Source organism: Homo sapiens, chromosome 3 (assembly GCF_000001405.40).
Source record: "Homo sapiens chromosome 3, GRCh38.p14 Primary Assembly".
NCBI lineage: Eukaryota > Metazoa > Chordata > Mammalia > Primates > Hominidae > Homo > Homo sapiens.
The window spans coordinates 193492371-193506292 of record NC_000003.12 but is presented as its reverse complement, the minus strand read 5'-3'; the positions used below and the strand labels follow the sequence as shown (position 1 = coordinate 193506292).

The following is a 13922-nucleotide window of genomic DNA, read 5'->3' as shown; positions in this document are numbered from 1 at the left end:
GCATTATTTGCATTATAAACCAATTATTTAAAATGGTAGCTCCTCTGGTACATTTAAGTATTTTACAAATCATTACCTGCTTTGAAGAGAGCTGGGAAACAGACTAAAGTAGAAGAAGCCATTTACAGGCAAAGATGCTGCTTTTCCAAAAAGGAAAAATTGAGAGACTTTTAGAGTTTCCTCAAAGGGAGAATAAGTTCCTACTTACAGAAAGAACTCAGAAACAACATGCTATGAAAAATGAGGCACAGAGCCATACCATTTGTTGCCTCCCTGCTATGGGCCAAACCTTAGATCAGACACATTATGTATACTTCATTTAATCCTTCAAACATCCATGAAATTTGGTATTACTTCCATTTTCTAAATAAAGAAAATTAGCTTCAGACAGTTGTAAGACAGTTTAGAGCTGGGATTTGAGTTCAGGCCTCAAGCCTGTGCTCTTGCCATATTGGACAACCCCAAAATGAAAACTGAGAAGTCAATGATTTTGCCTGAAGTGACCACTTCACACTGGTGTACTTTCCTTCCATTTCTTTGCTTTTTTTCCTTAAAAAGCTGGGTGATTTGACAGAGTCCTCAACAGGGTAGTATACAAGAGAGAAGTCAGTGTCACTCCCCTACTCTAAGCAAAAGGGTCATCTAGCTGTCCTATCTTTTATTTTTTCTACTTTGTATCATACAGAATTATGTATGATACATAATTAGTAGAATTATTTTATTCTACTTTGTATCATACAGAATTATGAGTATTGGGATTGGGAGTAAATGGGGATGTTAGGAAATGAGCTTAAAGGCAAATATATCCAAGTACCTTTGATTTGATAATATTATGAGCTATAAGAAGAGATAGGTGTATAGATGAATGTCAGTTTTTAATACACACCTAGACTAAGGCATACAGTTAGTTGGTGCACTGGATTAATATGGCCTTTGAGAACCTGGACACTTTGCTTTTCCCTCTTTAGGCATTACAGTCTGGAGGTCTGTCTGCTGTCACACAGGGCCAGAGGGTGACAGCTTGATTTCAGGAATTAGATTCTATGCTGTCAGGAGAGCAGAGATTGTGAGAAACTGGATACTATTTGTCAGTTGGTACAGAATTCAAGGTGATTTTTACATGCAAGCCATAGACACCATGGGACAACTTGTTGAAATAAAGAGGAAGGGACCAAGATTTGGAATGGAAAGATCTGGACTCAGGTCTCAGTTTTATTCCTACTACCAGTTTCAGACTGGCTTGAGCAATTCTTAGCCTTGCTGGTGGTTAGTTTTCTCATCTGCAAAATGGAGATAATTATAATACCAACACTGGAGAATTGTAAGCCTAAAATAAGATAACATAACAAAATTTCTACAAACTGCTATGTAATCATATGAAAATTATGAAACTGCTAGGTAAACATATGAAAGTTGTTAATATTATTTTAATTCACTGGAGACGATTAATAGTTGCTGTCTTCCTAATTGTCCCTACTTGGTGGCAAGAGGTCTCTGGTCTTGATGGCTCTTTTATAATTTGTGTTCCTATTTACCTACAAATTATACATTTTCTTACCAAATTTTTCATTGAAACTATGTTTTTTAGAAGTTCCAGTTCAGGCTCGACATAAAAATGGCAGTCCAATCAAATTATATTTTTTAGCAAAATGTAGAATAAAGTGGAAGGTTAGAGGGGACTCTGGAGGAGGCAAGCAGGAGTGGGGAGGTGACTGTTAAGTGCCTGCTCTAATAGTTACCAAGTATGTCTTTCTTTCCTTGCCAACTAAATGGGAGAATAATTAACTGTAACAATTCCATAGTGTTTTTGACATTAAATGAAATAATACATATGTAGCATTATGTGCTTAGAACATAATAAGTGTGAAATAAATATTAACTGTTATTAGAAATGGAAAGTTCTTACTTAAAAACTGCTTTGATAAAGTCAAAAGCAAAGCTATATAATGCTGAACTGTGTCAAGGTTTGTTCAAGAGAGTTGGTTGCCTACTCTACCATACCTAGACCATGTCTATCATCAGATCGGTGACTTAGTCATTGAAAATTTAGCTCCCTTCCACCATTCTTAGGCTCATCATTCTTAACTCCATACAATTTGATTTGAATTGATTTAGTCACCTTTTTTTTTAAATCCACAGTGTAACAGCCAATTACATTGGCTTTTAAAATTGATTAATTAATTAATATTCCAATTTCTATTAAGGTTATTTTCCCCTCTTGTTGGCTTCCTTCCCTTCTTCATCTCTCTTTCTCTCTCTCTCTCTCTCTCTCACACACACACACACACACACACACATGCACACAGAACCTGTGCTAAGCCTGGCTGAAGTGCAGACATGCATCATACACAATTCCTACCCATAGTCCAAGAGAAGTGGTAAGGTGGATAGGCAAAGGGTAAAATGTGGTAGGAATCTTGAGTATCCTGATGATTTAGAGGAGAGATCACCCAGAGTAATTAGGGAGGTTCTCAGGACATAAACTCTGAGCTGGACCCTGAAGGATGGTAGAATCCAGCCATGTAAAGACTTAAGGAGAAGAGAGAAGAATGTGTACTACAGGCTAAGGAAGCAGCAGGAGCAAAGGCATACAGACGGTCTTCTCTTAGGAGGATGAATATAAGAGATTAGCTACAATGATTGTATCTTCCCCTCTCTGCCTTTTGCAGAGTCAGCTAGGGCACTCTTCATAGCAAAAATGGGTGTGGTGGTGGAGACAATTTCCAGCTCTGACCTACATTTCCCAAGCATCAAATTTTTCCCACGTTTGACTTTTTCTGTTATACTTCTTGAATCCTGAGGTTTGTCAGTCATCTGAGTGGGTTTTATGTTTAGTATTTCCCTATTCAGACAATAACCACTGTCAAATAGGTCTCTAAGGGACCATTGTGGTATCTGTTTCTCAATCCTGTGCTTCTCCCTCTAATTTTACTCTGTGTGAAGTAATCAGTGAACTGCAAATGGAAGCAATTTTAATTAGGGTCATGCAATAAGGTGCCTTCTTCAACCCCACCTGTGCTAACATCTTGGCAATTACCTTGGGCAGGTTCAGTCCATGGATTCAGTTTTTTTCTTCCATTCTTCAGACTCTGACTGAGCAGGTCTCAGTGCTCCACATGAATGGGAGATAAGGAACAATAAAACGTGATCCCTGCATTCCAGGTAGTCTAGAAGGACTAGAAAAAGTGATTAAGAGCACAAGAGAGGGACACTTAACATTTTTTTGGAGTTAACAAAGTGATAGTTCCCCCCCCTGCCCCGCCCCGGTGGAAGGGTGTTAATGAGGCTGTTCTGTAGGAGGTGGAATTTGAGTTAAGCCTTGAAAGATGGGGATGGTCATCAGGTCATGGGCTGAAAGGTGGTTGAAAGGTGATGCAGTGAACTAGTTCTTACCTGCGAATGAGCCTCCTGATTCTCAAGCTTTGTTATGTGTCAGTGCCTCATCTTCATATCCAGATTCCTCAGTCAGTGATGACAGGTCTTTTTCCCTCAAGGTTCTAGATCCATCATCTTTCAGAGACAAACCGTTCTGTCTAGAATATTCACTAACGCCAAACACTTACAGAATTATATTAAAATGATGTTTCTCAGGTTGAATTGTAGCCTGCTGACCTCTCTTAACTTCTTGGGGGTTTTGATGTCTATCTCCTCAGGATGAATTCCAAATTTACTCTTGGAAAAAGGTAATATGGATCTACCTGTCAGCATTAAACAGCGCATTTGGTCTCACTCCTGACCACCCTCTCATGACAGATGAGGAGTATATCATAAATAGAGCCATAAGAAAGCCAGACCTAAAGGTAAGTAAACTTATGGCTACTGCTGATGTCAGAGAGATTTAATCTTTTTCCCCTCAAGTATATAGTTAAATGTAGCTCCTCTACTGTGCCAATCCTCATTTGATAGTGTATATTTAAAATGTGAACTTTGGAGCCAGACAGTCCAAATCTCAGCTTGCTCCTTCTAAATAGCGCAACCATTGATCTTAACTCTGCTGAGCCTGTTTTCTCATCTACAAAATGATGATAATAATGTCTATTTCTAATATTAATTGATAAAATTCAATAAATTTAGAAATACAAAGATTAAAGTAGTTCCAGGTATATAGCAGATGCTCAATACATACTCGCTCTATTTTCTTTTCCTTTTGTTAGAGGTAGGATCTCACTATGTTGCCCAGGCTGGAGTGCAGTGGCTATTCACAGGTGCATGATTATAATACACTACAGCCTCAAACTCCTGGGCTCAAGTGATCCTCCTGCCTCAGCCTCCCTAGTAGCTGGGATTGCAGGCATGTACCGCCCAGCCCAGCTCTTACATATTAGCTCTAATAGTATCGTTCCCCATATTACAATCTATGTAACAGGGTTAATCTTATAGTAAAAGTAATCACCCAGGAATATCCCAGGAGGTTTGCTTATGCCTACAAAAATGACCTTATTTGAATTCTTGTCATTCAAATGTATTTGGGTTGCTCCCTCTTCACCCTATTAAATTAGTTCTGCTTGGATTATGACTAGTTAACATTCATATTAAAAACATTTTATAAGACAGAATGTTTTGTCTTACATTTATGTATGTGTGGTCAGCTGTTTAAATTAGTTTTATGAGCTCAAGTTCAGTTATTTAAAGTAATAAAGTAAATTATGAGCAATTTTCCTATTGTCAATTGTTATCACCCAGTTGTCTTTTTTTTTTTTTTTTTAAATGGAGTTTCACTCTTGTTGCCCAGGGTGGAGTGCAATGGCGCTGTCTTGGCTCACTGCAACCTCCACCTCCCGGGTTCAAGCAATTCTCCTGCCTCAGCCTCCAAAGTAGCTGGGAATACAGGCACCTGCTACCACACCCAGCTAATTTTTGTGTTTTCAGTAGAGACGGAATTTCACCATGTTGGCCAGGCTGGTCTTGAACTCCTGACCTCAGGTGATCCACCAACCTCAGCCTCCCAAAGTGCTGGGATTATAGGGGTGTGCCACTGCACCCCACCCACTCAGCTGTCTTAGCTGCCCAAATAAACAAAAACAAAGGAGGTCAAGTACCTCCAAATAATAGTTTCCCTAATCTGTTAGATGTCCATTCACCTGGAGAAATAAGCTTCCCAGATAGCCTATGTTCTCATAGTTTTATTGCTCTGAAATTCTAGCATCTTTAGTAGCATCAAATAAATAAGTGGACAGATAAATGAAGAAATGGCCAAGTCAACACACAGAATTGTAGGAGGGGCAGAGGTCTTGAAATGGAAAGTTGTGATAGGTGTACTATCTTCATTTACCAGCTACGGCATAGGCAGTTTGGTTAGTTACTGCCTCTCTGGTCTTGAGTTTCTTATTTATAAAATAAAAGTAATACCCCTTCTTTGCCTTTCTCAGGGCTGTTATGAACACACAATGAGACGATGGATATTAAGGTCATTTGTGAACTTCAATGAGCTATGCTAGTAACAAAACTTTCCTTAAAGTCAGAGGAGCTGTCATGGGCTCAGCCTTGATGACAATAACAGCATTACCAAGAGGGTAACCATTTAGGGGCATTTAAAGGAGGGGTCCCCAATCCCCAGGCCACCGATTGGTGCCCTGTCCATGGCCTGTTAGGAACCAGGCCACACAGCAGGAGGTGAGCTGCTGGCAAGCCGGCGAGCATTACCTCCTGAGTTCTGCCTCCTGTCAGGTCAGCAGCAGCATGAGATTCTCATAGGAGTGAAATCCTTAATATTGTGAACTGCGCATGTGAGGGATCTAGGTTACGGTGCTCCTTATGAGAATCTAATGATTGCCTGATGATCCGAAACCATCACCGCATCCCCAAGATTCGTGAAAAAATTCTCTTCCACAAAACCGGTCCTTGGTGCCAAAAAAGGTTGGAGATCGCTGGTTTAAAGGAAGTCTGAAGACTACAGCAAAGAACTATGTCAGGTTTGGAAACAGGCTAAGAGGAGATGCTAAGGACCATCTTGCAGGATTACAGGCAAAGCTAACACCCAGTGCTTAACTTGTTAAACAGGATGCTCTTATAACATGTTCTAACAAGAAATTACAAGCAGAAAGCCCGGGGAGAGGAAATCTTCCTTATTCCTGAGCAGAAAGATGAAATTCACCCCGCAGCAGATACTTGGTTTCCTAATTGCTGTTTCCTGGTCTGAATTTCCAGGAAATAGGCAAATAAACCTCATCTCTTGCAAATATTGTACTTAACATCCTCTTACCAGCTTCCAGAGGCTCTGAGAGTGATGGGGGAAGCAGATAAACTCCTGGCAGAGATGTTTTCTCCTGCGGGAATCTCAAATATGCTCAAAAGGTCTAGGATGGAGCCATTCTTCTCACTCTGTGAGAAATGGCTTAAGAAATTGTCAGAAGATAATGGAATTTTCTATTTTCTGGCCTGAGGTAAAACTTATCAGTAGCCTCTTTATTTCTCATTATTGCTGCGTTCATCTACAGATGTTTCATGTCTATTATGTTTTATACATTTTTCAACCTCAGTGTGTGGTTTCTGCCTCTTGATAAGAGGTTCTCGAACTGATCAGGGGCCTCACATTGGAACCACAATTTGTCCTTTAAAATATTTCTAACACAGATTTTTGCATTTATATAATTAATAAGTAGATAGCCATCACTTTATACAGCTTGAATCCTGAAGTCAATGGATTTTCAGATTTTCCTTTGGGACTAGCTTGAATATGATATCCTTTGAGAGATTGAACTCTGGAGCCAGATGGGCTGGAGTTCAAATTCCTGGGAAGTTACTTAAGCAAAATGAACTTCAGGCGCAAAGTGAAGAGGAAAATAATATCTGCCCTACCACAGGATGATGGAAAAGACTAAACATAACGTGTGAAAAGTCCTAACATGCCCAAAAAATAGTAGCTGTGATTACAATCCTGCTCTATTTGCAAAATTGCAAAGAATACTGAAGAGAAAAGTAAATTGTGAGGCAAGATGCTTGAGATTTCAACATGTGTCATGATGGCTAACACACCCTAGAGCCTGTCATTTACAAATATTTCCTTTGCAGATTGTGAAATCTGCAAATTAGAGAGAGATTGTGTGTCATTCCTACTGGAAATTCACTCTAAATCGGCAATAAGATATACTTTTTAAATGCATTATGTTTCAATCAACCTTGCTGAAATAAATCCATTCTGTAAAATAAAAAAATACAGCATTTTACATGCTATTTGGTAACTTTGAATGTCTGTGTGTGTGTTTGCACACGTGCACATGTGTACCTGTACATACACCTATTGCATAGAGTTAGCATTCATTTTTGGTAACCTAGACCTTAGAGCTAAGGGATTTAAACTGCATTTCTAGTTGACACGGTTTTACAAAGCTTTCATTCATTTATTTAATAAAAAAATGTATTGAGCACTTATTTTGTGCCAGCTATATGGTCTTTCCAGTTTTAAAATGTATCTAATGGTTATAATGACTATAATATTCTTGCACATAGAATACCTAGAGAGAAGCTGAGGTAGAATATAGACATAATCTGTCCAATTGTCTAAATTTATTCATGGGGAAACTGAAGCACAGGAAAATTTAGTTGAAGTTCTCAAATAGGAATCTAGCAGAGTAGCTACAAAAGGAAGCTCTAGACACTGTTGGCTGCACATTAAAATTATGTGAGGAAAATTATAAATATTATGCCCAGAATGCACTGCAGACAAATTAAATCAGAATCCTTAAGGGTGGGGCCAGACAGCAGTCTTTTTCAAAGCTCCCCAGATGATTCCAATGAGCAGCCTGAGAGTATAATAACCATTGCTCTGTGACAATATGGCAGTCTCGCTGTTTCTTTTTGTGTTCAGTTAGGTCATCAGTTCACGGAAATTCACATTCACATATGAACTTGCTTAAAGAATCAGAAGCAAGAACACACAATTGTCATAAGCGTCAACCCTTCCCTTTTCTCCCACTGCCAACAGTCTCAGACCCTCACTTCCTTTTTTTTTTGTAATAACCTCCTCTTTGTTCTTTAGTATTTGCTGCCAGCCTAATCTTTTTCAGTATTTTAGTATCTTTTTCTTTTTCTTTTTTTTACTGGTTTAATCTGGCTACCAGGATTTTTAAAATTTTGTTTTTAATTGACAAATAATAATTGTACATATTTATGGGGTACAGTGTGATATTTTGATACATGTATACATTATGTATAAATCAAATTCGTATATTTGCATATCTGTCACCTCATAGGTTTATCACTTCTTTGTAGTGATAATATTCAAAATCCTTTCTTCTAGCTATTTTGGAATATACAATACAATATTATTAAACATAGTCACCCTGCTCTGCAAAAGAACAACAGAATTTATTCCTTCTATCTAACTATAACTTTGTACTGTTGACCAATCTTCCTCTATCCCTTTGTCTATGCTATTCCCCCCAACCTCGGATAGCCAATATTGTACTCCCTACTTCTATGACATCAGCTTTTTTAGATTTCACAAATGAGTAAGATCCTACAGTATTTGCCTTATTGTGTCTTGTTTATTTCATTTCACATCTCTTCAAAGTTCATCCACATTGTCAAAATTGACAGAATTTCCTTCTTTTTAGGGCCAAATAACATTCCACAAAGAAAATGTACATGTACATTTTCTTTATCCATTCATCCATTGATAGACCCTTAGGTTAATTCCATATCTTGGTTATTGTGAATAGTACTGCAATAAACACGAGAGTGCAGATATTTATTTGACATACTGATTTCTTTTCCTTTAGATATATACTTATTATTGGAATTGTGGGATCATATGATAGTTTATTTTTAATTTTATAAGGAACCTGTATACTGTTTTTCATAATGGCTGTACTAATTTATAGTCTCACTAACAGTGTACAAGAGTTTCATCTCTTTATATCCTTGCTAGCATTTGTCATTTTTTTGTCTTTTGATAATAGCATTCTAACTGGAGTGAGGTGATAGCTCACTGTGGTTTTGACGTGCATTTCCCTGATGATTAGTGATGTTGAGCATGTTTTCATTTATCTGTGAGCCATTTGTGTGTCTTCTTTTGAAAAATGTCTGTTTAGGTCTTTTGCCCATTTTCTATCAAATAGTTGTTTTGTTGCTCTTGAGTTTTTTGAGTTCCTTATGTATTCTGGATATTAACCCCTTGTCAGATGCACAGTTCGCAAATATTTTCTTCCATTCTGTAGGTTGTCTTTTCACTTGGTTAGTTATTTCCTTTGCTGTATAGAAACTTTTAGCTTGATGTAATTTCATTTGCCTATTTTTGTTTTGGGGTAGCTTGCACTTTTTGGGTCTTATCCAAAAAATCCTTGCCCAGACCAATGTCATGAAACGTTTCCCCTATATTTTCTTTTAGTAGTTTTATCATTTCCCATCTTCCATTTAAGTCTTTCATCTATTTCAAGTTGAGTTTTGTGTATGGTAAGATACAGGGGTCTAGCTTAATTCTTCTGCATGTGGATTGCCAGGTTTCTCAGTTTTATTTATTTATTTATTTATTTATTTATTTATTTATTTATTTATGTATTTTGAGACAGAGTCGTGCCCTGTCTCCCAGGCTGGGGTGCAGTGGCACGATCTCGGCTTACTGCAACCTCGGCCTCCCAGGTCCAAGCGATTCTCCTACCTCAGCCTCCTGAGCAGCTGGGATTACAGGCACCCACCACCATGCCCAGCTAACTTTTGTACTTTTAGTAGAGACATGGTTTTGCTATGTTGGCCAGGCTGGTCTCAAACTCCTGACCTCAAGTGATCCATCTGTCTCAGTGTCCCAAAGTGCTGGGATTACAGGCATGAGCCACTATGCCTCAGGGCCTATCTTAGCATTGTTTATTAAGGAGACTATCCTTTATCCATTGTGTGTTCTTGGCGCCTTTGTTGAAAACTAGTTGGCTGCAAGTGTGTGAATTCGTTTCTGTTTTCTCTATGTGGTTCCATTGGTCTATATGTCTATTTCTCTGCCAGCACCATGCTGTTTTAGTTACTATCGCTTTGTAGTGAAATTTGAAGTCAGATAGTATGATGCCTTTAGCTTTGCTCTTTTTGCTCTATTTGCTTTGGGTATCCAGGGTCTTTTGTGGTTTCATACAAATTTTAGGATTGTTTTTTCTATTCCTGTGAAGAATATCACTGGTATTTTGATAGAAATTGAATTGAATCTGTACATTGCTTTTGATAGCATGGGCATTGTTAATAAGATTAGTTCTTTCAATCCATGAGAATGGAATATCTTTTCAATTATTTTTGTCTTCTTCAATTTCTTGCAATAATGTTTTGTAGATTTCAGTGTAGAGATTTTTCAAGACCTTGGTTAAATTTATTCCTATGTATTTTATTATTTTTTTGTAGCCATTGCCAATGGGATAGCTTCTTGATTTCTTTTTCAGATAGTTTGCTATTAGTGTATAGAAATGCTGCTGATTTTTATACATTGATTTTGTATTCTGTAACTCTACTGAATTTGTTTATTAGTTTTTTTTAGTGGAGGCTTTAGGACGTTCTATATATGATATCATGTAATCTGCAAAAAGGGGCAATTTAAGTTCTTTTCCAATTTTGATGCCTTTTACTTCTTTCTCTTGCCTAATTGCTCTGGCTAGGACTTCCCGTAGTATGTTGAATAAAAATGATGAAAACAGGCATTCCTGTCTTGTTCTAGGTCTTAGAGGAAAAACTTTCAATATTTTCCAATTTTGTATGATATTAGCTGTTGATTTGCATGGCTTTTATTGTGTTGAGATGTGTTCCTTCTATATCTATTTTGTTGAGTTTTTAACATGAAAGGATGTTGAATTTTGTCAAATGCTTTTCTGTATTTGTTCAAATGATCATATGGTGTTTGTGTGTCATTCTGTTAATGTGATATTTTATGTTTATTCATTTGCATATGTTGAATCATCCTTGTATCCTGGGATGAATTCCACTTGATCATGGTGAATGATCTTTTTAATGTGCTGTTAACTTTAATTTTGTTGACAATTTTTGCTTCTAGGTTTGTCAGGAATATTGACATATGATTTTCTTTTTTGTTGTGCCCTTGTCTAGTTTTGTTATCAGGGTGATGCATATCACCTGATGCATATTAATTTGGAAATATTTTCCTCTCTTCAATTTTCTGGAATAGTCTGAGTAGAATTGGTATTCTTCTTTCAATGTTTAGTAGAATTCAGCAGTGAAGCCATCAGGTACTGAGCTTTTCTTTGATGCAAGACTTTTTATCACTGATTCAATCTCATTGCTAATTCATCTGTTCACATTTTGTATTTCTTCATGATTCAATCTTGGTAGCTTACATGTGTCCAGGAATTTTTCCATTTCTTCTAGATTTATCAAACTTGTTGGCATATAATTGTTTATAATAATCTCCTAGGGTCTTTTTCAATTCCTTTGTTATCATTCGTAATGTCTCTTTTTTCATTTCTGACTTTATTTGAGTCTACCCTTTTTTTCTTTAGTCTGACTAAACATTTGTTAATTTTGTCTATCTTTTAAAAAATCCAGCTCTTTGGGTTTTTTGACCTTTTGTTGTCTCGTTTTATTTACCTGTGTTCTGATCTTTATTATTTCCTTCTTTCTATTAATTTTGGATTTAGTTTGTTCTCATTTTCCCTGAGGTGCAATGTTAGATTGTGTATTTGAGATCATTCTTTTTTGTATATAGGTGTTTACTGCTATACATTGACCTCTTAGAACTGCTTTTTCTGTATCCCATAGGTTTTTGGTAAGCTGTGTTTTCATTTTCACTTGTCTCAAGAAATTTTGAATGTCTCTTTTAATTTCTTTGTTGACCAATTGGTTGTTCAGGAGCATGTTGTTTAATTTGTATGTATTTGCAGAGTTTCCAAAGTTTTTCTTGCTTCCTTAGTGATTTCTACTTTTATACTATTATAGTCAGAAAAAAATACTTGATATGATTTTAAAATTTGTTAAGACTTTTTTGTGACCTAATGTATAATCTATTCTGGAGACTGTTCCATGAGCAGTTGAGAAGAATGTATATTCTGCAGCTGTTGAATGGAATGTTCTGTAAGTGTCTATTAGGTCCATTTGGTCTAGAGTGTAGTTTAGATTTGATATTTCTTCGTTAATTTTCTGTCTGAATGATTTGTTCTTTGCTGTGAGTGAGGTGTTGAAATTTTTTACTATCATTGTATTTCAGTCCATTTCTCCCTTTGGTTTTATTAATATTTGCTTTATATATTTAGGTGCTCCAATGTTGGGTGCATACACATGAGTGTTAATCTCTTACTGAGTTGACTCCTTTGTCATTATGCAATGATCTTTTTTGTCTCTTTTTATAGTTTTCATTTAAAGTGTATCTTATCTGATATAACTATTTCTACTCTTTTCTGGTTTCCATTTTCATGGAATGTCTTCTTCCATTCTTTCATTTTCAGTCTCTGTATGTTATTACTAGTTAAATGATTCTTTGGAGGTAGCATATAGTTGGCTCTTTTTATGTTAGAAAGGAAAATGACTGGGCACTGCTTTTCATTAAAAAGAAAACCTTACCGAGGACTTATGTAGCCTCATTATCTGCCCAAGTAATTTCTTCTTAACTCCTGTATCAATACTTTGGTTTCAGTTTACCTTTCTAGCTTCATTCTTCATTCTACAAACAGGCGTGCTCACTTGCCTTCTTCCCCCAAACTAACTTGTGAACAATCTCTTTAAAATACTTTCTATTTTCTCATCTGAGTATAAGTCTTCCAATCCTTCGACACTGTAACTCATACATCATCTCCATCATGATGCCTTCCATCATCTTCTCTCTCTTTACGTCTACAGCATTTCAAGACCGTATTTTTTATGTTATTATGTTTTTATTTTTTGGCATGGTACATATTGGACTGTATGCCTTGTTTTTGGAATTTTTTCCTCCTTAGTTTATAAAGTAGTAGAATGCAGAGACTAAGTTTTATTCATATATATTTTTCTATATAGTAGGTCCATGATACATGTTGATTGAATGATGACTTCTAATAAAGAATACCATTTGTATGGTAGAAAAGCAAAGGGTAAATTAGAAAAGGATAAAATCTTAAATAAGTATGTTAGAGTTTTATCTTTGCTTTTCAAACAAATGCTTCTTTAGCCACTGGGTTGCTGTTTATTCTCTGATCCTCAAACTAGAGGTTTTCTTAGTACTTTTCTTTTGCAGGTGAGATGCATCAAAGTGCAGAAAATAAGATATGTTTGGAACTACTTAGAAGGACAGTTCCAGAAAATTGGGTAAGTTGTTTTAGCAAGTACAGCCAAAGAAGAAAAATGTTATCTCAAAAATATTATTGCTAAATATGTTCTTTTCATTATTATTATTTTAGTTCTTTGGAAGACTGGCTTAGTTCTGCCAAGATACATCAAAAATTTGGATCAGGCTTGACAAGAGAAGAACAGGAGATTAGGTACCATGCATATTATTGCCTATACTAGCTCAAAAGGATTATTATCAGTTAGCCAAATAGACAGCTAGTAAATAGTTATCTTAATGGATTAATATCAGAAAATATTATAATGCTCTATTTAGTATTATTAAATTAAATCTTTCACATACATTATATTACATCATCTTCACAGCAACCTTATGGGGCAGGTAGAACAGACATTATCACCATTTCCACACAACAAATGAGAAATCTGAGGCTCAGAGGGGTTTCATGGCCGGAACGAGGTCACACAGATGGGAATTAGTAGCGGAAGAACTGAGTCCCACACTCCTGACTGCAGATGTAATGCTCTTTCTACTCCATACAAAGTTTCTCAAGGTTATTATAATATAAAGTTGAGCCATTTTAGGTTAAAATCAAGAAATACATATTAGACCATGATAACGCAGTTAAATAATAACCATGGAGCAGCAGCAGAACACCATGCAAGATGTGTAGCTCCACATTTCCAAATCAGTTATTAGGCAGAGGAGAGAGGTTTAGGGAGGGCACTGGTATGTCAAG

General features: G+C 36.6%; 1 protein-coding gene across 4 annotated transcripts in view; it reads left to right on the top strand.

Moving 5' to 3' along the window:
- The window catches only part of ATP13A4 (ATPase 13A4), a 194153-nt gene that overhangs the window by 86827 nt on the left and 93404 nt on the right, over positions 1–13922 (top strand). For all 4 annotated transcript variants that reach the window (XR_007095757.1, XM_047449063.1, NM_032279.4 and 1 more), the window contains 3 exons: positions 3654–3800; positions 13133–13203; positions 13296–13376. Coding sequence is in view for 3 of the 4 variants with exons in the window: in XM_047449063.1 (XP_047305019.1) it covers positions 3654–3800; positions 13133–13203; positions 13296–13376 (299 nt within the window). In the remaining variant the exon portion in view is untranslated. The remainder of the gene's footprint in view (positions 1–3653; positions 3801–13132; positions 13204–13295; positions 13377–13922) is intronic.